Here is a 25,996-nt window from a genome sequence, read left to right on the forward strand (position 1 = left end):
TTATGATGTGATAAGTAAAAAAATGCAGGATACAAAATTGTGCTTTATTATGTGTACTGTGTTAGTTTTTGTTTTTAAGAGACAGGGTCTCACTCTGTCACCCAGGCTGGAGTGCAGCGGTATGATCATGGCTCACTGCAGCCTCGACCTCCTAGGCTCAAGTGATTCTCTTGCCTCAGGTTTCCAAGTAGCTGGGTCTACAGGCATGCACCACCATGCCCAGCTAATTTTTTTTATGTTGCATTGGTTTCATAGGGCTGCCAAAATGAAATACCACAGACCTAGTGACTCAAACAATAGAAGTTGTTTGTTTTTTTAGAGATGGGGGGGGTCTCGAAATGTTGCCCAGACTGGAGTGCAGTGTCTATTCACAGGTGTGGTCATAGCACACTGCAGCCTCAGACTCCTGGGCTCAAGTGATCATCCTGCCTCCCGAGTAGCTGGGACTACAGGCACGTGGCACTGTGCCAGGCTCAAACAACAGAAATATATTTTCTCACACTTCTGGAGTCTGGAAGTCCAAGATCAAGGTATCAGCAGCAGGTGTGATTTCTCCTGAGGCCATTCTCCTTGGCTTGCAGACGTCTTCCTTCCCGTGTCCTCACATGGCCTTTTCCTGGTCACTCTCTAGGTTCCAATCCCCTCTTCTGATGTGGACTCCAGTCATATTGGATTAGGGTCCACCATAATGACCCCATTTTAATTTAATTAGCTCTTTGAAGGTGCTACCTCCAAGTACAGTCACATTCTGAGGCACTGGGGGCTAGGGCTTCAACATATGAATTTTGGGGATGGGGACACAATTAAGTCCATTAAACTATGATTCTCATTTTGTTTAAAAATGCATAGAAACAAAGACTAGAAGAAAATACAGTAGACCTATGGCTTTTGAGCAATCCTGAAGGTTCATAATATATAATAATCGGTAGGTATGTTTGCTGATGTATAGATTTGAGACATAAGAACCTCTGGAGAAGGCCTGTGGCAGAACCCCTATGTATAAATGACTCTAGTTGTCCTCTGGGCATCCTAATCTTATCAGGCTTCTTCATGTTTCACTTATCATCTTGAATGCAACAATTTTAATTAAGGATCAAAAGAGTTGCTTAATTTTTTTTGGTGATACTATACCATTTTTACAGGAAAAATACAAAACAAATATGGTATCTCTCATACATGCATAATTAATAAATATTAAGGTTAAAATGGGTTATTTGAGTGGTTCTATAATAAATATATATATATATTTTTTTGAGACAGAGTCTCGCTGTGTTGCCCAGGCTGGAGTGCAGTGGCACCATCTGGGCTCACTGCAACCTCTGCCTCCTGGTTTCAAGTGATTCTCATGCCTCAGCGTCCCAAGTAGCTGGGATTACAGGTGTGTGCCCCCACACCCAGATAATTTTTGTAATTTTTGTAGAGATAGGGTTTCAACATGTTGGCCAGACTGGTCTCAAACTCCTGGCCTCAAGTTATCCACCTGCCTTGGCCTCCCAAAGTGCTGGGATTACAGGGTTGAGCCACCATGCCTGGGCTATAATAAATGATTTAAACTTTATTGTTTTTATGGTATTTGCTATAACAAGCATGTATTACTTTTTTTTTTTTTTTTTTGTCTGTAGAGATAGGGTCTCACCATGTTGTCTAGGTTGGTCTAGAACTCCTGGGCTCAAGTAATCCTCCCACCTTGGCCTCCCAAACCAAAGTGCTAGGATTACAGGTGTGAACCACTATACCAGGCCTGTATTCTTTTTTTTTTTTTTTTTTTTTTTTGAGACAGAGTTTTGTTCTTGTTGCCCAGGCTGGAGTGCAACGGCACGACCTCGGCTCACTGAAACCTCCACCTCCCAGATTCAGGTGATTCTCCTGCCTCAGCCTCCTGAGTAGCTGGGACTACAGGCGTGCGCCACCACCCCTGGCTAATTTTTGCATTTTTAGTAGAGACGGGGTTTCTCCATGTTGGCCAGGCTGGTCTCGAACTCCTGACCTCAGGTGATCCACCCACCTCGGCCTCCCAAAGTGTTGGGATTACATGCGTGAGCCACTGCACCCGACCTTTTTTTTTTTTTTAGACTGAGTTTCACTCTTATAGCCCAGGCTGGAGTGCAATGGCGTGATCTTGGCTCACTGCAACCTCCACCTCACGGGTTCAAGGACTCTCCTGCCTCAGCCTCCCAAGTAGCTGGGATTACAAGCATATGCCACCATGCCTGCTAATTTTTTGTATTTTTAGTAGAGATGGGGTTTCACCATGTTAGCCAGGCTGGTCTCAAACTCCTGACCTCAAATAATCTGCCCACCTCAGCCTCCCAAAGTGCTGGGATTACAGATGTGAGCCACCTTGCCAGGCTCTGTATTACTTCTACAACTAAAAAAAGAAACACATGATTTAAACATATTTAAAAGTTTTCACCTGAAAATACGGAATCTTCTCAATTACACACTTTGTGGTTCTTTAAATTATTTTTGAATTCTATTCAATTTGGTTCAATAAATATTTGTTGTGCACTAACACTACTTGGTGCTGTGGTTCAAAGATTTGTGAAAGACTATCTGACCTGTCTGAAAATTCCTACACTAGCCAAGGAGATTGAAAACCATTCTACTGACCATAAAAACTGCTATAAATAAAATATGGAAGCCTAGCGGAAGGATCAGTAAAGGCTTCAGAGAAGTGAATTCCATTTTAGAGTGGAGCCTTGAAGATTGAGTGAGATTTCACCATTAGGAAAAGGGGAGAGGTGGTCATTTCAGAAGCAGGGTCTGCAGGGAGGAATAGAGGTGTTCATACTTGTTCCTGAAATGAGGAGCAGGCCTTAAGACTGCAGAACAGAGTTTCAGCAGGTATAGGTTAGAGGATGAATTGGTGCAGGCAGAATTTGTTGGCAGCAAGACTAATTAGTAGGTCATTATGATGGTCCTTGAGAAATGATAAGGAATCATTAAGGAATCAGCAGCAAGGATGGAGAGTAGGGAACCAGGCAAAAGACCTTCTGGAGCTAGAGTTGACAGGATTGCGTTTGAGAGAACCAGGGGAGAAGTATATTAGGAAGCAGACCCAGGTTTCAGCTTGGATTTGGGAGGATTAGGAGTAATACCAAAGGAGAATCAGGTTGAGGGGACTTCTGAAAGAGAGGTAAAAAAGTGGAGATGAGAGAATTAGTTCAGTCTCATTTTTAAAGTGCATTTTTTGGCCCTGCGTGGTGGCTCACGCCTGTAATCTCAGCACTGTGGGAAGCTGAGGTGGGCAAATCACTTGAGATGAGGAGTTCGAGACCAGCTTGGCCCAACATGGTGAAACCTTGTCTCTACTGAAAATACAAAAAATAGCTGGGCGTGGTGGCACGTGCTTGTAATCCCAGCTACTTGGGAGGCTGAGGCAGGAGAATCACTTGAACTCAGGAGGCAGAGGTTGCAGTGAGCTGAGATTGTGCCACTGCCCTCCAGCCTCGGGGACAGAGAGAGACTCTGTCTCAAAAAAAAAAAAAAAAAAAAGGGCCAGGCACAGTGGCTTACACCTGTAATCCCAGCACTTTGGGAGGCAGAGGCAGGCGGATCATGAGGTCAGGAGATCAAGACCATCCTGGGAGGCTGAGGCAGGAGAATCACTTGAACCTAGGAGGTGGAGTTGCAGTGAACCGAGATCTTACCACTGCACTTCAGCCTGGGTGACAGAGCGAGACTCTGTCTCAAAAATAAAATAAAACAAAATAAAAATAAATAAATAAGACTGTCCTAAATAGGAAAGGTTGGTCTTTTGAAATAGAATAAGGAATCAAGTGGATTGTTTTGTTTAATAAATAAGTTTAACATAAACTGCTGATGAAAAGGCCTACATAAAGCACTGTTGGCATTTAGATTTAATGAACTATTACACCTTTTAAAATTTTATAAATCTTTTTATCTGATCTCAAAGCACTTAATAAATAGGAACTCATTAAAAACATACCATCACTGCGCTGAGCATGGTGGCTCATGCCTGTAATCCCAGCACTTTGGGAGGCCAAGGCAGGCAGATTACGAAGTCAAGAGATCGAGACCACCCTGGCCAACATGGTAAAACCCCATCTCTACTAAAAATACAAAAATTAGCTGGGTGTGGTGGTGCACGCCTGTAGTCCCAGCTACTCAGGAGGCTGAGGCAGGAGAATCGCTTGAACCCGGGAGGTGGAAGTTGAAGTGAGCCGAGATTGGGCCACTGTACTCCAGCCTGGTGACAGAGTGAGACTCCATCTCAGGAAAAAAAAAAAATACCATCACTATGTCACTATGCTGTAGTTATAAGTAAACAGGTTCATATTTTCAGGTGGAGAAGATGAGGTCAATCCAATAACACAATGTGAGTTGTTGATTAGTGTGGACATAGAAATAGAAGGTAGTTTTCCTGGACACCTAAAACTCTGCTCCATTCAATAGCCTATTGGTAGTTAGAAGTAAACACTCTTTTTTTAAAGAGATGGATTATTACTTATGTTGCTTGAGGCCAGGAGTTCGAGACCAGCCTGGTTGCTGGTCTCAGCAATGTTGCTCAGGCTGATCTCGAATTCCTGGCCTCAAGCCATCCTCCCACCTGAGCCTCCCAAAGTGCTGGGATTACAGGCTTGAGCCACCACACCTTGCCTCATTTGTTACAATTAATGACCCAATGTTGATACATTATTATTAACTAAAGCCGACATTTTGTTCATATTTCTTTACTTTTAATCTAATGTCCTTTTTCTGTTCCAGTATCCATCCAGGATATCACATTACATTTAGTTATCATGTCTCTTAGGCTTTTTTTTTTTTTTTTGAGTTGGAATCTCACTGTCACCCAGGCTGGGGTACAGTGGCGCGATCTCAGCTCACTGCAACCTCTGCCTTCTGGGTTCAAGCGATTCTCCTGCCTCAGCCACCTGAGTATCTGGGATTACAGGCCCACGCCACTATGCCTGGCTAATTTTTGTATTTTTGGTAGAGATGGGGTTTCGCCATATTGGCCAGGCTGGTCTCGAACTCCTGACCTCAAGTGATCCGCCCGCCTCGGCCTCCCAAAGTGCTGGGATTACCAGCATGAGCCACGACACCCAGCCCTCTTAGACTCTTTTTTACTGTGACAGTTTCTCAGACTTTCCTTGTTTTTGATGACTTTTACAGTAATGAAAGTACTTAATGGGTATTTTGTAGACTGTCCTTGATTGGGATTTGTCTAATGTTTTTCTGATGGTTAGCCAGGGATTATGGGTTTTGGCAGGAAGACCACAGAGGTAAAGTACCATTTTCATCACATCATATCGGGGATACATTATCATCTAGTTGAGGTACTGTGTGCCATTTTTTGCACCCTAAAGTTATTTCTTCCCCCCACTCCCCCTTTCCATCCTATACTCTTTGGAAGAAAGTTACTACGCATACCCACACTTAAAGAGTAAACCATTGTACTTCACCTCCATGAGGGAGGGAGTATGTTCATAAAGTATTTACATTTCCTGCAGGAGAGATTTGTCTATTCTCTCCTCATTATTTATTTAATCATTTACTTACATCAGTACTGACTCGTGGATAATTCTTACATATGTGTTTGTTTGTGTGCATGCAAATATATAATCGATGTGCTTTCTTTGCCCAATAATATGTTGTGGACAACTTTCAAAGTCAATAAATACAGATGACCTTCAGAACTTTTAGAGGTTTTAAAGTAAGTATCTAATCAGTCTTCTACCAATGTACATTATACTTCCAAATTTTCCTTATTTCCAACAATACTGGGGTATCATCTTCATACATACATTTTTGTGCACTTATGTGCCTATTCCTTTGTTTACTATTTTACCCTCATTTCTAAGGCAGATTACACTTGAGCTATGTTCCCCATTCCACAACCAAGCACGGCTTGCTTTCCTTAGTTTATGCTATTTTCTCTACCTGGAATGCTCTTTTCCTGTCTTGACCCACTGAAGTCGTATGTATGAATCAGGGCTTCGGCCAAAGGCTGTTTGCTGTAGAGGCTCTTCTACAGTGTTTGGAGAGAATTTAAGGGACTATCTCATCTCTCTCTTTTGTACATGTATTATAACACATCATCTGAGCCTCCTAGTCTCTCCCAGGACTCTTTTTTCCTACCAGTTTATCAACTGATAAGAGGCAGAAACGAGATCAATCGCACTCATCTGTGTACTCTATCACAGTGGTGGGCACATCAAGTAACTAGCATATTTTGACTTTGATTGAAGTGAAGAATACGAATAACAGAAATTAAGAAGCATCCTCAATATTGCATAGCAGGTTACTCTTCTTTTCTTTTACATAGGATGGCACTCCATGCTTCAGGGAGACAGAGGAGTTGAATACAGGTTTTAGTTTTTGTTTAAAGTGAAAACGACTCTGATGTAGTTGAAAAGTAATGCTTTCTAGCTGTCTGTTAAAAATGTTTGTTGGTTGAAGACTTCGGAATTGCAGTCCAGTGAGGACTGAAAATAAGCATCTTTGGTGTGCCAAATATTCATAAGGAAATTGTATACGAATGCAAGAGAATGGAACTGAAGTAATAAAATAAGGGCTCTGATCCTTCAGATGACTTATTTAAGAAGCCAGGTGGCATAACGAATCTTACATATTATAATTAGTACTGAGAGGTGAATGCCAAAACATAAAACAAACACAATCGAGACAATGTTAGTGTGACTGTGACGCTGTGTCGGTGAGTTGAGGCTAACGATCCAGTGTGGCTCTCCTGAAGGCCCACCGCGCCCGCACCTAGGAGACGCGCCCCTTCTGCTCATGCTTTGAGGCGGGGTGACCCACACATCTGTGCCCCTCTCTGAGCAGGAGGAGGCCCCGTCGCAGACGCGCGCGCAGACAGCGTCTGCCGCGGGCACCTGGGGCCGCGCGCCGCGGGGCGCCCCGCCTCCGCTCTCCGAGGCCCAATCATCTGGAGGCTGTGGGGGCACGTCCCGCTCCCGGCCACGCCCCCAGCCGGCGGGGCGGGGGGTGCTTTTAAGAACCGGCGGCTGGCAGTGGGCTCAGTCGGGGGTGCGGGGCTGTGACCTAGAGGCTTCAGTGTCGATCCCCGAGGTGTTCGCGCGCGCCAGCTGTCCTCGCGGCCGCCTGCGCGCTGGCCGCCTGCGCGCTGCCAGCCCGCCCGCCCGCCAGGGGCTCCGCCGCCCTCGCCTCGGCCTCGTTAGCCCGCCAGGAGCCCCGCAGCTCCTCCGGGAGCCCGCTGGTAACTCGCGTCCCTCGCGCTTCTCCGGCGCCTGAGGGGCCCGCCTCGGGCCATGGTGCTCTCCCAGGAGGAGCCGGACTCCGCGCGGGGCACGAGCGAGGCGCAGCCGCTCGGCCCCGCGCCCACGGGGGCCGCTCCGCCGCCCGGCCCGGGACCCTCGGACAGCCCCGAGGCGGCTGTCGAGAAGGTGGAGGTGGAGCTGGCGGGGCCGGCGACCGCGGAGCCCCATGAGCCCCCCGAACCCCCCGAGGGCGGCTGGGGCTGGCTGGTGATGCTGGCGGCCATGTGGTGCAACGGGTCGGTGTTCGGCATCCAGAACGCTTGCGGGGTGCTCTTCGTGTCCATGCTGGAAACCTTCGGCTCCAAAGACGATGACAAGATGGTCTTTAAGACAGGTGAGGCGCGGCGCCCGCCGAGGCCAGCCTGGGCGACCCGCGTGGGGCCCCCGAGCGCATCCCGCGTGTGGGCTGTGTCTGCCTCCGAGTGTGCATGTCGGTGGGTCCCTGTGCCAGAGGGTGCGAGCAGGGGGGTCTTTCGAGTTGCAGACAGAGCCTGCCGCTTCTGGGGCCTCGGGGTGCCCGTCTTTATATGGAATCCAGCTGCAGAGCTGTGTGTTTGCAAGCAGGTCGCAGAACTTACTTGCCGAGATCGTCCTCCTTTCCCCTCAGCAGAGCAGACGCTAACAGTCCACAGGAGCCCTTCCTTTTATTGTTTGAAAACAAACAGAACCCCAGAACCTTCAACCCCAGTCATCGCCCTGTCATTTTTGTGGTCTCTTTCGTGACTATGCCAGTTATGTAGTTCTTCACCTGCCTCCCTGGGCCGCAGAGGGGTGTGCGTATGTTGGCGGGGCGGGGGGTGGAGTTTGGAGGAATGAAAGAGATTTGTACGAAGGTCACTGGAGTTCCAAAGGGGGCCCTGCAAGAGTCACGGTTCCGTGCGTTCCCGTCCCCCCGCCTTTTTTTGCCCTCTGGGTTAAATGTAGAAAACACGGGAGGCAGCCGGATTAGGGACTAGGATGAGGAAGGTGAAGGGTTGCTTCTTCCCTCTTCCTGTTGTGTTTTTTGACATTTTTTTTTAACCATATAGTAAATTAGATACAAAAGGTGCAGATTCAGCGTTTTCTCCCTGTAGAGCATTATTATGACTTTTTGGCTGGTTAGGCAAAAAACAAATCTAAGACCTTCTGCATGACACTTTAACATAAATTCTTTCACTTTATCCTGCAAGGTGAGCGCGGTCAACCCCATTTGGGTGAGAAAACTGTAGCTCAGTGAAAGTGTCTTGGTGGGTAGTAGAATGGCAATAAAACACATATCAACTGACTTCAAGGGCTAAGTGATTTCCATTACTAAATCAACCTCCCTCCCCATCATTTGGGGTAACTTTATATGATTAATAGTCTTTTTTTTTAACCTTGATTTTCTATTATTTTTAGAGTGAATATTTCTTAGGTCTTTAGTATGCATATGAGGAATGGGCAAGACTGTAATAAATTCTGAGACAAAGGTAATGCTGGGTTATGCTGAGAGTTTTAAAACCTGACATAAATACTATTAAACTATTTGTATCATTCTGCAACTTACTTTTCTTCCATTCCGCATCATGTTTGTGACTTATCCACATAATACCTCAGTGTGAACTGATAACTCAAATTCTTTCCATTTTAACTTAGGTGGTTTGCATTGTTTGACTATATTATACTCTATGCATTCTCCCTCTGATGGGCATTTAGATTGCTTCCAAACTCATTCTAAACAATGCTGCAATGAATATTCTTGTACACTCTCGTTATGCATGTGAATACGGTACCATTTTAACCTGGAATTTCTGTTCTTTAAATAGCTATTGAAACTGCTGTGGTATGCGGGTCAATGGGCTAGGTACAAAAAGTGTTAAAAATGTAGTAACATATCCTTACCATTTAAGGGAAGTAATCATTGTAAAGTTTAGCAGGGGAGATATGCATATATAATAGCAAACAAAAATAGTTTGTTGTCTTTTCTATATGAGTATTGGGTGTCAGAGAGAAAAGCCCCAAAAGAAGGCAGAATTGACAGAGTTAACATTTAAAGACTAGTTCCAACATTTACCATATTCCTGCCTGGGATTACAGATTTTTTAATGCAGTCAAGATAACAGCAGTCTTTTGTTTATCATTGTTTTTGCAAATTCAGTTAAGTAGATCCTTTGGTGTCTGTGGGTGGGTTTTTTTTTTTTTTTTTTTTTTTTTTTTTTTTTTTTTTGAGAGAGAGAGAGAGCAATTGCCAGAGAGACCATAGCTTTGCCAGGGATGAGAATTTTGCAGTGTCAAAGTCTCTACCTACTACTTGTCCCCAAAGTTCTAATTGGCTACACAATATCCCAATACTGGGTAGCTGAGAGTGAGGGAAGGAACCTGGTTTTTCTTTTGCACTCTGTGGAACTTTGTGTTTTCCATTTTGATGAATATCTTTTTTCTTTTTACTCAGTTCAGTCTTTGACAACTTTTTCAGTCATGTTTGTGTATGTGTGGGTATATATCATATAAACAGTTGCACAGGTGTGCTAGTTAAATGTGTGAAGATCTTTGTGTTTCTCTGCCTGACTGCTGTATATCTATTTATGGTTGTGCCATTGCACAAGGGTGCCCAACTCAGGGGTAAGTGGGGACTGAAAACCAGCCTGGGCTCTGGGTGCCCTTTGTCTGATTCCTACAGAAGGGCCCTATGCACTTGTAATGGCCCTGTATAACACAGCATCTAGATTGAACAATGGCCATTACTTGGGTGCTAGGTAATACATATATGACTGATAGATGTTAAGGGCTGAGGAAGAAAACAGATTTAAACTTAGTGCTGAAAAAATGGTTACAAGATAGTCTTTAAGCCAGTTATTGTTGAGATCTCTCTCTCTTCCCCTGTCCCCTACCCCTTTCTCTTTCCTTCAGTGCACACACACACACACAAAGGTGTTTCATGAAGTCCCTCATCTACCACAGTCACTGTTATTTGAGAATATCTGCTTTGAAGTTTGATTGGTCACACTTTTTCACTTTGATATTCGAATGCTGAGTCGTCTGTGATCAAGCATATGCAAGCTTCAAATACATGCCAAAAAATATCTGGAATTTGTTTAAGCCTTTTATTTTTCAAAGTTTTGGTCTATTTTCTATTACCGTACTCATGATGGATAATCCTGGTGTTAGAGTACAGCTAGTTCTGTCTCCTTGTTTCCATTACTTCTTTATAGCAAGTGACTAGCCTAAGGATATACAGGGAGGTGGTGGTGGAATGGAATCTAGGTCTCCAAATGATGGTGCGCATTTCTTGAGTACTTTCCTGTGGCTAAGCACTTTAGATGCGTTCCTATTTAAACCTTACCACGATTCTCTGATAGACTTTGTTAATATCTTTCTTTTCAGATATGGGAACTCAGGCTTACAGAGTTTAAGTAAGAAGTGGAGCCAGAATTCAACCCCAGGCTTATCTGACTCTAAGAGCTGGGATTTTTATTTTAATTATTTATTTATTTAAAATATGGAATGCTTCATGAATTTGCATGTCATCCTTGTTCAGGGGTCACGCTAATCTTCTCTGTGTCATTCCAATTTTAGTAGATTGTTGTTCAAAGTGCTGCTGAAGCAAGCACCAGGAGCTGGGTTTTAATCATTCATCATATTGCATTGACTAGATAACATTCTGCAAATACGATGTTTTTTATGTTGTTGATTAATTTAAGTGTTAGTGATTGGTTGAGTGCTCTACCATGCATTCTGGGATTAGAAAGAAGGGTCCCTGTTTCTTGGTCCTACTTTGTGGTGAATAAACAATTGCAAATTATTAATGTCTCAAACTATATTTCTGAAGTGTAGAGAGACTTCCATAGAAGAACAAGATACTTCCATATGCCGTTCAAGCAAAAGTCTGGGGTTTCCTTTGAAGAACTTTTAGATTGATCCACAGCAGGACAATGTTTCTAGGCAGAACTGAGGAGGAGCCTTTCTTAGGCTCACTTCTCTTCAGGGCTCTGTTAACTCTTCCCACGCAATGGATAATCTACCCAAAATTTCTCAGGAAAGGGCCTGAAGAAGTTCATTCACACTAAGGTGTAAGTGAGTTTACACATCTTACTGTTAATTCTCTTTATACAAATGTTTACCAAGTTATCTAACACGCTTTGTTTTGGGCTCTGTCCTGGGGACTGGAGATAATGACTGAGAGAGAAAATGTCAGCTGTTTCAAAGTAGCTTAGGATCTGTTGTGGGATACAAATTAATAACAGACCAGAAGTAATAGAATATTTCCCTGAAGGATTTTCAATATAACAGGACTCAGTTTTACTATAAAAGGCTGAAATTCTAAGGTCATTTCAACAGGTGGTGGGGTTGGGGGTGGGGAAGGCATTTGACGCCTCTTTCTCTATGGTTATAAATCTCACTTGGTGAAATTAAGACTTTGGAAAGGGGAAGTAAGCCAACTCCAAGTTGGGCAGTAGAACCAATGAAAAATGCTGACGGCATCACAGTCCCATTATGGTGCCCAGCTGCCAATGACATGGCACTCAGAGGAGTGTCTCACACATACTGCTCTGTCTGAGGGAGCAAGCTAAGCTTGAGTTGTCTCTTTTTTTGTTGTTTTTTTTTTTTTTTTTTTTTTGAGACAGATTCTCACTCTGTCGCCCAGGCTGGAGTGCAGTGGCACCATCTCGGCTCACTGCAACCACTGCCTCCCGGATGCAAGCAATTCTGCCTCAGCCTTCCGAGTAGCTGGACTACCTGCGCTTGCCACCACACCTGGCTAATTTTTGTATTTTTAGTAGAGACAGGGTTTCACCATATTGGCCAGGCTGGTCTCAAACTCCTGACCTCGTGATCCACCTGCCTCGGCTTCCCAAAGTGCTGGGATTACAGGCATAAGCCACCGCGCCTGGCCAAGTTGTCTCTTTTTAGTTGAATTTTTACCTGTTCACATGTGTATTCTTCTTGCCTAGGTAGAGAGGAATCAGACACTCTGGGGAAGAATACAAAGAAATACAATTAAGTGGAACATTGTTTTTCTTTAGAAAGTGCAATTTTGGGCTGGGCGCAGTGGCTCATGCCTGTAATCCCAGCCCTTTGGGAGGCCAAGGCAGGTGGATCACCTGAGGTCAGGAGATTGAGACCAGCCTGGCCAAGATGGTGAAACCCCGTTTCTACTAAAAATACAAAAAATTAGCTGGGCATGGTGGCGGATGCGTGTAATCCCAGCTATTCGGGAGGCTGAGGCAGGAGAATTGCTTGAACCTGGGAGGCAGAGGTTGTAGTGAGCCAAGATGGCGCCACTGTACTCCAGCATGGGCAACAAGAGTGAAACTCCGTCTCAAAAAAAAAAAAAAGAAAAGAAAAAAAGAAAAAAGAAAGAGCAACTTTGTTTTAACTCTGCTAGATACTGGAAAACCCATGGAACTAATGAAGAGCCTAGGGCTTTTTATTTGTTTTGAGATTGTGCCATTTCACTCCAGCCTGGGCAACAAGAGAGAAACTTTGTCTCACACACAAAAAAAGTGTAAATCAAAACATTAAAAATTAAGTAGTTTGGAAGTAGATTATCAAAAAGGTCCTGAAAGGGAGGTTCTTTGGCTATAATCTTTAACGCAACTCTACACTCCCTGTATGGAGACAGATTTCTTTTTAGATGGTTACAGTCACAAAGTAGGGTTTTCAGTAGCATTTAGGGATGAATGAATCTTGCAGCACCTCTCCATGTATCTTGCTAGCCCCTCTGAAACTTCAGGTCAGTTAGTGCTTCCTCAGAAATTGTTCCCCCCACACCAAGTTTTCACATTTACAGTTATACTGATATCCACATTGTACTGTTGTATGTGACACCTAGATTATAGGAAATTTTGGCTATAGTTCAGAAATTAACTGCTATGTTTTGCCTTTACGCTAAAGAGATTTTGTTTTGTTTAGTAGGAAAAGCGGCCTGCATAACTAGCCATTTCTGTATCTTAGAAAAATTTTTAGTAACAGTCCTTTGTTGAGCTAGTTACAGTGAACAAATAATCTGGTTCATGGTCCTATACATCTTTCACTATAAGAAAAATACCTGATTGTTATTTACACTGGAAGAGAGGTAGAAAAGCTAAGAGAACTCACTTATGGCAATAAACCAATCTAAACTACCTGCTAAAATAAGTGAGAAGATTATAAAAATGGTTCTAGGATTTTGGAATAATAGTGAGTATGGTATGGGCGTTTCATACTTCATTTCCAGAATGTTTCTGGATTAAGTGCGAGACTGAATAGCATATATAGTGAATTCTAATTAAATACAACAATGTGAGATTCCTGTGGTGTTTTTTCATGGAATTAAAAATTAATAATTTCAATAAAATTAACTGCTGAAAGAACCCAATTAGCCAAAATGAAAAGCATAACACATTTTTTCAGGAGCGATTTTGAGGTGTCTTTTAGAATAAATTGTACTCTGCTTTTGATGTGATTTGCTACATCTTTTTGTTGCAGTTCCTTGAGGCTCAGCCCCTGGCCATATACTTGCTTCACTTTTCCTGCTTTCTTCCATCCACTGTCTTGGGGCTGTTATTTCCAAATCTCATCACTGTGTTCAAGACTTATTTACTATTTCTGGACAGTTCCATTTGGGTACACAGGTACATCATACTAAACTAACATGAACTCATTTTTCAGCTACACCATACAACCTTCCCTTACTACCAAAAATGACAGCCCATTTGTCGGCATTCTTCTGAATCCATATTCCTCCTTCTTAATTCTCTGTGCATGATACCTCTGGTTGTTTAAGTCAGAAACCTGGAATGTATCTTAGCTTCTTATTTCTCTTCCTTCCTTACCTGTTTTGTTAAATCAGAGTTCTTTTGTGTTTACCTTCTTAATGCCTCATAAATCAGTCCCACTTTTCTTTCACTACTGTGTCTTAATTCATGCCTTCATTTACTTTTTATTTTATTTTTTGGGATAGGGCCTCACTGTGTTCCCCAGGCTGGAGTGCAGTGGCATGATCATAGCTCACTGCAGCCTCAAACTTCTAAGCTCAAGCAATCCTCCTATCTCAGCTTTTTGAGTAGCTGCAACACCAGGCACATGCCACCATGGCCGGCTAATTAAAAAAAATTTTTATGTGGAGATGGCATCTTGCTATTTTGCTCAGCCTTGTCTTGAACTCCTGGCCTCAAGCGACCCTCCTGCCTCAACTTCCCAAAGTGTTGGGACTACAGGCGGGACCTACTGTGCCTGGCCACCTTCATTACTATTGGCAACAATTAGTCATAACCCCTTAACAGGATTGCTTGTCCTCAGTTGTACATCTGAGTGATTTTTCTAAAAGATTGGACCATATGATTTTTCTGTTTAAATGCCCAGTGACACTCATTACTTTTAGGAAAATGTCAAACTCCCTACTCCGAAGGCCTGCAAGCTCTGGCCCTTGCCTGGCCCTCTAGCCTTGCCCCTGCTTCTCTCCCTTACTGGTCTTTGTGTTCTAGCCAACCTGTAGGTGTTACACTGGCCCAAATTTGTCTTGCTGCTTTTTGCCTCTGTACCTTTGTGTGTGCCACTCCTGTCTTCAGTGCGATGGTTGGTCCTTGTGAGATTCTGATGAAATGGTTGGCCATTTTATTCTTATGTCACAATCCTGGGACACAAACAGTGATTTTATGCAATTGTTATGTATTTGATGCACTTGGAATATTGGGGGTAGCTACATTTTGGAGTTTTGAGAACGAATTCAAATAAGTTACAAATTATGTTTAAAGTGGTAGACAGAGAACCTGATTTCAACCTATTCTAATAAAGCATTCCGTGAAAGCCATTTTAAAGATGATCCATATTTGTTAAAGTGGTAATTTTTATATTCTCTGATATGGTTTGGCTGTGTTCCCACCCAAATCTCATCTTGAATTGTAGCTCCCATAATCCACACTTGTCATGGGAGGGAGGTAATTACCTGGTGGGAGGTAATTGAATCATGGGGGCAGGTTTTCCTGTGCTGTTCTTGTGATAGTTAATAAGTCTCATGAGATCTGATGGTTTATAAAGGGCAGTTCCCCTGCACACTTTCTGTTGCCTGTTGCCATGTAAGACATGCCTTTGCTCCTCTTTCACCTTCCACCATGATTGTGAGGCCTCCCTAGCCATGTGGAACTGTGAGTCCATTAAACCTCTTTTTCTTTATAAATTACCCAGCCTCAGATATTTCTTCATAACACTATGAAAATGGAGTAATACATTCCATTACCATAAAGAAAAGGCTTTCATGTACATTATTTTTTAGAGTAGCCTTGTGGTATGTCATTACCTCCATGGATAGATAAGAAAGTTGCAACTTGCACAGTATTAGGATTGATATCAGTATTTACTTTTATTAAGTTGAACTTAAGAGCAGCTTTTTGGCTGGAAAAAAGTTGTACTTATGTCAAAGTTGTCCTGAAAGTAGAATCCTACTCCTGTCCCCAGCCTGAAACTATTTACTACATATTTACTTGCATGTTCTTTAGAATATTCTCTCAATAGTGTCTCCTACTCAAGTCATCAGAAATGCTGTGATGTCATTTTTGGAAAAGAATTCCAGAGTTATCACCGCCTAGCTAGAAATCTGGTCTTATATTCAAATTAAACAAGCAAACCTTAACAAAAACAAGCTAAACCCTAAACATAACATGAACAGTCAGCTCACCACAGTTCTGAGCACCTGCCTTGGCCTGGTGCCACCCACGCAGGGACTGTGGATGTTTTTATTGGCAGAGATTCAGAACAGGAAACTCCAGCACACCTGGGAACTGCGCAGACCCACCACATAAGACAGATAGCCTATCAGTGGCTGGAGGAATGGAGGAAAGCAGTGCTTTCAAATGTACATGCCAAATGTGTATGATCATACCTCTTTGTTAAAGTGCCTTCTTTAACAGCAAAAGTAATTCCTCACCTTGCATATAGGAACTAAAAAAAAGTCGATGAAGAAATGGCTTGCCTTATTTTCAAGTAAGAAGTCTTTTTTCATTTCACTAATTTTTAATTATGGGCATAAGTATGAAATACAGATTAGAAATACTGAATGTGGACCAAAGCAATGTTTCCTTTGTGGACCAAAGCAGTGAATCTTTTTTCTTTCTTTCTTTCTTTTCTTTTTTTTGTTAAGAGACAGGGTCTTGCTCTCTTGCTCAGACTGGAGTGCAGTCAGTGATGTGATGGCTCACCATAACCTCAACCTCTTGGGCTCAAGGGATCCTCCTGCCCCAACCTCCTGAACAGCTGGGATTACAGGCACATACCACCACACCTGGCTAATTTTTAAAAATTTTTTTGTGGGGGAGGGTCTCTCTATATTGCCCAAGCTGGTTTCAAATGCCTGAGCTCAAGTGATCCTCCAACCTCAGGCTCCCAGAGTGTTGGGATTACAGGTTTGAGCCACTGTGCCTGGCCCCAAAACAGTGTTTGTAACTCCCTTTGTCCCCTCTTGATAAACATAAAAGTCTCATGGTACTTCAGAATTTTGTTGCACACATCCAAGTGTAGTTTGCCTTTCCTTGTGAGTGGCAGAAGACAATGTCATACTCTGTATTTATCCATCAGCCAAAATTTTGTCAAGCTTTACTTTTATTTTTTAAATTTTTATTTGTATTTTTTTTTGGAGACAGAGTCTTGCTCTGTCGCCCAGGCTGGAGTGCAGTGGCGTGATCTCGGCTCACTGCAACCTCCGATGCCTGGGTTCAAGCGATTTTCGTGTCCCAGCCTCCAGAGCAGCTGGGACTACAGGCACGCACCACCATGCCTGGCTAATTTTTTTGTATTTTTAGTAGAGGTAGGGTTTCGCCATGTTGGTCAGGCTGGTCTCGAACTCCTAATCTCAGGTGACCCACCCGCCTCAGTCTCCCAAAGTGCTGGGATTACAGGCATGAGCCACCATGCCCGGCCAAGCTTTACTTTTAGTTATGTTGTGGATATAATTAGAATTATTTTCTTGTTCTTTAAATACAGAATTATAATATTGAATGTGTGCTTTAAAAAAATTAGTAAATGTACCCCTCTAGAACTTCTGATCTATGCCTCTTAGTGAGTGAGGGGAGCTGTGCCGCTTTCCTCCTCCAGTGCCTCCACTTAAGAATCACTCACTAAGGAGTTTTAAATTCAATTAAAGGTATCCTTTAGATAGTTAAGTCTAAATGAAAGGTCAATGATTAAATTAATGGATAAAAGTCCATTGCACCTACGGAAAGGTGCATTGGTCTACAGTTCAGCTAGTACCTATTTTTTGCTAAAGATTAAATTGCAGCTGGGCGGGGTGGCTCATACCTGTAATCCCAGCACTTTGAAAACCTGATGGAGGCCGGGTGCCGTGGCTCATGCCTGTAAATCTTAGCACTTTGGGAGGCCGAGGTGGGCGGATCACTTGAGGTCCGGAGTTAGAGACCAGCCTGACCAACATGGAGAAACCCTGTCTCTACTAAAAATACTAAATTAGCCGGGCATGGTGGCGCATGCCTGTAATCTCAGCTACTGGGGAAGCTGAGGTAGGAGAATCGCTTGAACCCGCGAGTTGGAGGTTGCAATGAGCCAAGATCATGCCATTGTACTCCAGCCTGGGCAACAAGAGTGAAACTCAGTCTCAAAAAAAAAGAAAACCCTAGGTGGAAGGATCGCTTGAGTCCAGGAGTTCAAGAACAGCCTGGGCAACATAGTGAGACCCCATCTCTACTTTTAATTAAAATAAAATTAACATTAAAAAGTGTAGTAAAATTTTTAAAAAGAGTAAATTGTATCAGCAGTGTTCTGCCTGTGTTCAGAAAGCCAAAATTTATATTTGTGTTTCATTTAGATTGGATCCAAGACCAATTTTGAGATGTGTTTTAATATTACAAAAATAGAAAACTACCTGTTCATTAAATGGTGATATTTATTGACTTTTCTGTGTAGATAAGTATTAATGCCAAGTCAAGTAGGTTAGTCTGGAGACTGTTTTTATTAATAAAAACCTTTTCATCTTAATTATCCTTTTTATTAGTTTTGACTTTATGTTGCAACTTCAAAGCAGCATCTCAAAGGGTTCACATTTGTCAGTGGTTGTTTAAACAACGACATTCCACAAAGTTAATTGATGTTTTAGTGTGAATGGGGCAGGAAGTTGTCATTGTTGTCCTGTAGTAACGTAGCACTCAAACTTTGACAGGAGGACCCCAGCCATGTAGTTATTGACTGTAAGTACACTTCCCTTAAGAGTAAGTTGTTTTTTAGGAATAAATGATAAATGTATGGAGTTTTAGTTGTAGGTGTTATGTTTTGTCTCCTTCTTCTCAGAGAAAAATGTTACTGTGGAATAGGCTTAAACTGAAAAAAGGATCTGATTTTTAATAAGATCAGATTCTTTGGCCATATTTTGATATTGGTTCAAAACAAATGTTTAATATCAGATGCACAATGTTAAGAGCTCTATAATGTAGTGGTAACACCTGAGCCTCAGCCAGTGACTACACATTAAGTTCTTGTTCATTTTTTGCAGGGGCAGGGGAGCTGGTGAGGCATAAAGAAGGGTCAGAGGAGATAATAGACTTATATTTGTATTTTTATGCATAATTATATAGGAAACATTAAATCCAGAGTTGATAAATAATTTGTATGTATGTATTTATTTATTTTTGAGACTGGGTCCTGCTCTGCTGCCCAGGCTGAAGCGTAGGGGTATGAACACAGCTCACTGCAGCCTTGACCTGGGCTCAAGCGATTTTCTTGCCTCAGCCTCCCGAGTAGCTGGGACCACAGGCATGTGCCACTACACCTGGCTAATTTTTAAAGTTTTTTTGTAGAGATGGGGTCTCACCACGTTGCCCAGGTTGGTCTTGAACTCCTGGGCTCAAGCAATCCTCCTGCCTTGGCCTCCCAGAGTGTTGGGATTATAGATGTGAGCCACCATGTTCAGCTGATAAATAATTTCTAATCTAAAAATCCTATTTTGTATGGAGAGGGGAGGGCAAATAGGCTATTTTTTCCACATTTTGTTGCTGGCCAGAATCTCAGAGGGTTTTTACCTGCATTAAAAATGATTAAGGCTGGGCAGAATGGCTCATGCCTGTAATCCCATCACTTTGGGAGGCTGAGGCAGATGAATTGCTTGAGCCCAGAAGTTCTAGAGCAGCCTGGGCAACATGGTGAAACCCCATCTCTACGAAAAATGCAAAAATTAGCTGGACGTGGTGGCAGGCACCTGTAGTCCCAGCTACTCAAAAGGCTGAGGTGGGAGGATCACCTAGCTCTAGAGGTCAAGGGTGCAATGAGCCAAGATTGCTCCACTGCCCGCCAGCCTGGGCAGCAGAGCAAGACCCTGTCTCAAAAAAAAAAAAAAAAAAGGTTATTTTTTTTCAGCATAGACAAAGCAGGGGAAGGAAAAGATTATGTTTCAAATGTTCATTTAAACTACTACATTTAAAGTAATACTTCCTAATGATTTAAACTTTAGATTAGTCTATTTATGGGTCACCTGGAAGATTCTTTATAAAACATGAGAGTTTATTACTTCTTTCAATACACGGGTGTCTGTAAATGATGCTCAATAGATCTGAAGCCTGAACTTTCTGAAGAAATGTTGTGAAATTATCTATGGATGTCTACTTGAATTTAAATAAAAATAAATTGTAATACATTTGGTTTTATTGGTTTTGAATTTGTAATTATTTGGGGATTTGGATTTGGTTTATCTACAGTTGTCTTTTTTTTTGAGGTGGAGTCTCGCTTTGTCACCAGGCTGGAGTGCAGTGGTGCGATCTCGGCTCACTGCAATCTCTGCCTCCCGTGTACAAGCGATTCTCCTGCTTCAGCTTCCTGAGTAGCTAGGATTACAGGCATGCACCTCCATCCCCAGCTAATTTTTGTATTTTTAGTAGAGATGGGGTTTCACCATGTTAGCCAGGATGATCTCGATATCTTGACTTCGTGATCCGCCTCGGCCTACCAAAGTGCTGTGATTACAGGTGTGAGCCACCGTGCCCGGCCTACAGTTGTCTTTTTTTACTCACTCCCACAGATGAATCATTATAAGGAGGTTAGCTTTCCTTAAAGAATACACTCTCCTTAAGCGGTTTTATCAACAAAGCCAGGGAATGCCAAACTTTAACACTTTTACCTAAATTTATAACTGATGCATGTATGCATATATACATACATACATACATGTATATGTTGTTATATATGTATGGGTATCATCAGTATAGTCTATCAGTATAGTAATTGTTTATCTGAAACTTGGGGTTCTCTCTCGCTCTTTCTCTCCCTCTCTCTCTCTCTCTCTCTCTCTCTCTCTCTCTATATATATATATATATATATATATAAATATATGTATATATATTTTTTCTTTTTTTGAGACAGGATCTCATTCTGTCACCCAGGCTGGAGTGCAGTGGTGGGATCATGGCTCACTGCAGCCTCGACCTCCTGGGCTCAAGTGATCCTCCCACCTCAACCTCCCAAGTAGTTAGGACTACAGGGGCATGCCGCTACACGTAACTAATTTTTGTATTTTTTTGTAGAGACAGGGTTTTGCCTTGTTGCCCAGGCTGGTCCTGAAATCCTTGGCTCAAGCAATCTGTCCACCTCAGCCTCTGAAAGTGCTGGCATTACAGGTCTGAGCCACTGCGCCCAGCCTAGATTTTTTTGAATTGTAAAAAAGTAACCTGCTCCCTACTGAAGTAAATAGAGTTAAAAAAAGTAATCTGGTACAGACACCTGTATTTTCTGACACCCCTAGAAGAGTCCCAGGTACCCTATAATCAAATACATTAACATTTCTGCAGCAAAATGTATGGATAAGTGAGTTAAATAGAGACCATGAGTAGCTTCAGGTCAGTTCAGATCAAGTTTTGCTTCTAATTAAATGTTGATATTCTCTTACAAAAACTTTGGGTTTGGGTTTTCAGATTTGCAAATAAATAATTATAAATTATTATTTTTTTTGAGACAGAGTCTTGCTGTGTTGCTCAGGCTGGAGTGCCATGGCACGATCACGGCTCACTGCAACCTCAACCTCAGGCTGAAGCCATCCTCCCACTTCAGCCTCCCAAGTAGCTGGGACTACAGGAGTGTGCCAACATGTCCAGCTCATTTTTGTATTCTTAGTAGAGACAGGGTTTCGCCGTGTTGGCCAGGCTGGTCTCAAACTCCTGGTCTCAAGTGATCCGCCTGCCTTGGCCTTCCAAAGTGTTGAGATTATAGGTGTCAGCCACTGGGCCTGGCAGAATTATACATTTATATGTCAATATTTGCTTTTGTTTTCTGTTTTTCAGTAAACGTTTTTTAAGGTACATTTTTCTGTATCTCATAAGGCACCTGCTTAATTGTTTCAGTAAGTGTGATGTTCTACCATATTGGTCTACCCTAGGTTACTCAACCAGGCCTCCTTTGTTTAGTGAGTAGCAGGCAGTGTTGTACAACATATGTAGCATATCTGTATATGTCGTCGAACAAATTGTTTTTTTCCCCTCTCTTGGATTGCTTCCTTGGGTGTACGTCCAGAAGTGAGATTACTGGTTCAAAGGGTATGAACAACTTTATAACACCTGTTACACATTGCCAGATTATTCTTTAGAAAACTTGAATCAGTTTATTGTGCCACCAGTGATGTGCTGGCTTCCTGAAAACCCTACCAATGTTTGGTTTTATTTTTATTAGTATTTGCTAATTTGATAAGTACTAATGATATTTTTTAAAAGTAGTTTAAAATCATATTTCAGTGCTTATAAGTCTGTGTTCCCAGTTTTTGAGCCCTTTAGAAGCTGCAAATGACCTGGCAATTATATATAATATTTGAAAATACAAGAGGACATATGCCAGTGAATATATTAGAGTAAAACTTCATTCCCATAGGTAATGAAGGAATGCTTGAGATTATCTTAGGCCTTAGATTCTCACCTGACACATCTTGGCAGGTAGACCATGTCCTTGTTTCCTCTGCTGTCTTAGCCCAGGTGTTGATCAAGGTCTGTCTTAGGGCGGGGGATAGGAATGGAAATAAACCATGTAGAGACTTGGGCATGAGGACTTTGTGATTCTTCCAGGTGACATCTCATCCTTCAGAGGATCAAGTCTGCAAGAGTAGCCATATCTTAATCTCTTTCAGTGCTATCACCTTGCATCAACCTCTGGACTCGAGCTAATTCCGTTGAAAATATTTTATTAATTAATTTTGGGGTATGTTAAAAATTTTGTTTGCATGTATTTATTTAGTTATTTTTATGAGACAGGGTCTCGCTCTGTCACCCATGCTGGAGTACATACGGTTGCACGCTCATGGCTCACTGCAGCCTTGACTTCCCAGGCTCAAGTGATCCTCCCACCTCAGCCTCCTGAGTAGCTGGGACTACAAGTGCATGTCACCACATTTGGCTAATTTTCATATTTTTTGTAGAGACGGGGTTTCGCCACATTGCCCAGGCTGGTCTCAAACTCCTGGACTCAAGGGATCTGCCTGCCTCAGCCTCCCGAAGTGCTGAGATTATAGGTGTGAACCACCGGGCCCGGCTCCCCATTTAATTTTGTTGTTGTTGTTTTTTAGATGGAGTTTCACTCTTGTCGCCCAAGCTGGAATGCAATGGCACGATCTTGGCTTACGGCCACTTCCACCTCCTGGGTTCAAGCGATTCTCCTGTCTCAGCCTCCCGAGTAGCTGGGATTACAGACACACGCCACTATACCTGGCTAATTTTTGTATTTTTAGTAGAAATGGGGTTTCACCATGTTGGTCAGGTGGGTCTCAAACTATTGACCTCAGGTGATCCACCTGCCTCGGCCTCCCAAAGTGCTGGGATTATAGATGTGAGCCACCATGTCCAGCCACCCATTTAATTTTTTGAGCACAAAATATGTACTGAGAGCCACGCAAGAAACAAATTCGACTTATTCCATGCTCTTGAGAGGTCATGAGGGGAAACAAAATGATACATAAGTAACTCTGAGAGAATATGCTGCACATGCTAAATCCTGTGCAAGTAAGATATAGGATTTTAGAGGAAGGGAGAATGACTTCTGATTGAGCTGACTAGAGAAGGCTTCAGTTTTTGAGTTAGGTGTTACGAGATTGGGAGACTTTTCTCAGCATATCTAACAGAAGAGGGTATCCGAGGTGAGAGTGTAAGGCCTGGGCAAGGGTTGGGAGGCAGTTCTAATACTGAATGTTCTGACTGTGGTTTACTATGTATTTCAGGTTATTTTGTTTAATCTATCCAGTAATCCTTTCATGTAACAATTATGATGTGTGTGTTTTAGGTGGGGCTACTAAGGCTAGTAAGTAGTGAGGCTGGATTTAAACTTAAGTCTCCAGCTTCGTGGCCCAGGTTCTTTATACTTGACTCCACACTGGGCTTATTAAGTGAATGACAAGGAGTTTGATTTGTCGAGGGCCGAGGATATGTAGTGAAAGGTCATAGACTATAAGGCTGGCAAAGAATGGTGGAGCTGGGGAACGGAAGATCTAAATGCCAAGGTAAGCTTGGACATTATTTAATAGAGGCAATGGGGAGATACTGAGGATTTCTGAAGAGGGTTTCTAAGTAGTGCTTTAAAAAGATCTCTGGGTTGCAGAGGCAAGAAATAGGAGGAACACCAATTACAAAGCCCCGACCGAAAGCCGAGTGAGATTTGAGGGTCAGCCATGGAAATGGGAATGAAGGGACAGATGTGAGACATTTCAAAGGATAGACTGCAGGAATTCTGGCAAAGAATGGGTTGGACAGTGATGAAGAACACAGAAACAGCATTGATGCCTACATCTGGAGCCTGTGTCTTAATAATTTTTGATCAGGGAGACCTACAATACATTTTGTATTGTGCCCCACAAAATCATGTCGACAGCCCTAGATGATGTCATGGACAGGTATGGGGCATGAGGAGAAAGAGTTGCCAGGGAAAGGCTGGCTCACATTTTAGACATGTGGAGCGTTAAGGGTCAGCAAGACATCAAGGGCGATGTCAGGCAGGTAACTGGAAATGCAAACTGGTAGTCTCAGAGTGACGCTGAGTCCAGTGGTGGGGCTTTGGAAAGAACATGTATCTCTAAGAGGAACATGACATAATGGAAACCCAGAAATCCTGTCTTGAGCGGACTCAGGGGCTGCTTCTAGGTAATTTAGTTCATTTCTACTGAAATCATTATATTTAAAAGTATGGCCGCACTGAGATGGCCACTGTAGCTGCTGCCACCTCTTAGCTTTGGTCTTAAAAAAAAAAAAAAGTAATAGAACTTCCTTAAAATGTCTTTCTAGCCTTTGGATTTCTCTAATTCAGATTTGCGTCTTCCCAAGGGTCAAAATTATATTTTTACTATCCCTGTCTTAGGTATTTCCAAAACTTCGTCTTAAGACTTAGTCATTTTTTTCCTTCAATTTGACATGACTGCTAAAGACTTTTGGCATGTTCCTCCTCCTTTCATTTGTGATGTAATTAAGTTGGTCTGTAAGTCTTATTTTTAAGATGTTCTAGACCAAGAGACTGTGAGAATAGCTTACAGTCATTTCAACTAATTTATGTATTTTAAATTTAAAGTATTGACAGTGGTGAAAACCTGTTCAACAAGCAGATGATGTTATCTTATATATTCACAGAGTTTAGTAACTGAGCCAACTACTTCATTCACAGTTCAAAATGAAAACAGCTAATTCTTTTAAGTAAGTATAGATTCTACTCTTTAAAAGAGTTATCTAGGAGAGCTACTATAATACTATTATAGAATAAGTGAAATTAAGTTATCTGACTGGGACTGGGGTGGAATATTGCACAGTTTATTGAGAAATATGGACTGTTTTTGCACATTCATAATGGACATTTGAGGTTTGTTAGGGGAGGAGGTGTCATCTTTATGGCACTTTCTGGCTGGGAAGGGAGTCAGTCCTAATTGAGATAATAACTAGCCACCTGGCCACACACAAGTGTGTTTTGCCTTAGTTACCTGTCACACACTGAGCAGTGAGACTCAAGAGAGTGTCAAAGTACTTTTCAATGCATAAAGCACTACAGATCTGTCCACACTGTTGTGAGTGAGCAGGTTGGCACGGTGCCTGTGTGCGGGCGTGTGTGTTGACTCACGTGCTGTCCTGTGATCTCTCAGGACTCAGGTCCTGAATTGCTCTGTTGTGACTGAAGCCCAGCTGAAGGTGCTGGAAGTGCAGTGACCCTGGAGGAAGAACCAGTAACAGCAGAGGGTGGATGAAAGGGAATTGATAGTTGTGTAAGAATAGATATCTGCCGTTTTTTGTAAGCCAAGACACCTTTACCCTTCCAGTAATTGTTTCATCTTTTAATATCATTTGGCTTCATTTACAGAATCTGTATTAAAGCAAAAGTCAGCATGTAAGGTGGTATTTTGACCACATTTGTCTGCTGTTGTGCCTTCTGGGTGAACTGAAGTACTGGCTTACTGACTAGTAAATATGTTTTCTGACAATTATAGGGAAGGGAAGAAAAGGAAAGTCCAATTAAAGCATTTTTCTCCTCAGAGTTTGAAAAATAGAATTCATGCAATCTTTTAAATTCCATGCCAACACATCAGACAAGAAGAGACTTGATAGTAGTAAAGGTTGGGAATCAAAAGAACAATGTAAGTTTTTGATATTGACTTCAAAACATGGTGTTCTATAATTTAGTGTTCATTTGTTACGTGTATGGTATTATAATTAATTTTGTATATGTGGTAGTTATTTTTTGTACTTTGATTAGGAAACAAATATTGAGCCACTTCAAGAGGCAGACTATTTTGGAAAAAAAAGTCTGGTAAAAGTAATGCTTAATCTAATTAATCTGTCTTCATCCTCTTAATTCA

The 25,996-nt window shown here is 42.3% G+C and overlaps 1 protein-coding gene and 1 pseudogene across 4 annotated transcripts in view, besides 3 other annotated features; one reads left to right on the forward strand and one right to left on the reverse strand.

Annotated features, from left to right (window-relative positions):
• Nucleotides 6,685-7,364: a silencer, noted in NCBI's record as "silent region_17473". NCBI's record gives its function as "represses an Ori minimal core promoter by ATAC-STARR-seq in GM12878 lymphoblastoid cells {active_cell/tissue: GM12878}" and the evidence as "EXISTENCE:reporter gene assay evidence [ECO:0000049][PMID:35858748]".
• SLC16A10 (solute carrier family 16 member 10) overlaps nucleotides 7,004-25,996 on the forward strand; it is a 143,692-nt gene continuing 124,699 nt past the window's right edge. For all 4 annotated transcript variants that reach the window (NM_018593.5, XM_047418167.1, XM_011535422.3 and 1 more), the window contains exon 1: nucleotides 7,004-7,596. In NM_018593.5, coding sequence (NP_061063.2) covers nucleotides 7,254-7,596 — 343 coding nt within the window. In that variant the 5' untranslated portion in view covers nucleotides 7,004-7,253. The remainder of the gene's footprint in view (nucleotides 7,597-25,996) is intronic.
• Nucleotides 7,387-7,887: an enhancer, noted in NCBI's record as "H3K27ac hESC enhancer chr6:111409089-111409589 (GRCh37/hg19 assembly coordinates)". NCBI's record gives its function as "activates a minimal SCP1, AML or CMV promoter by ChIP-STARR-seq in primed H9 embryonic stem cells {active_cell/tissue: H9 hESC(primed)}" and the evidence as "EXISTENCE:reporter gene assay evidence [ECO:0000049][PMID:30033119]".
• Nucleotides 7,395-7,574: a silencer, noted in NCBI's record as "silent region_17474". NCBI's record gives its function as "represses an Ori minimal core promoter by ATAC-STARR-seq in GM12878 lymphoblastoid cells {active_cell/tissue: GM12878}" and the evidence as "EXISTENCE:reporter gene assay evidence [ECO:0000049][PMID:35858748]".
• On the reverse strand, nucleotides 10,714-10,833 carry RNU6-960P (RNA, U6 small nuclear 960, pseudogene; annotated as a pseudogene).

The sequence above is a fragment of the Homo sapiens genome, chromosome 6 (assembly GCF_000001405.40).
Source record: "Homo sapiens chromosome 6, GRCh38.p14 Primary Assembly".
NCBI classification, from domain to species: Eukaryota; Metazoa; Chordata; class Mammalia; order Primates; family Hominidae; genus Homo; species Homo sapiens.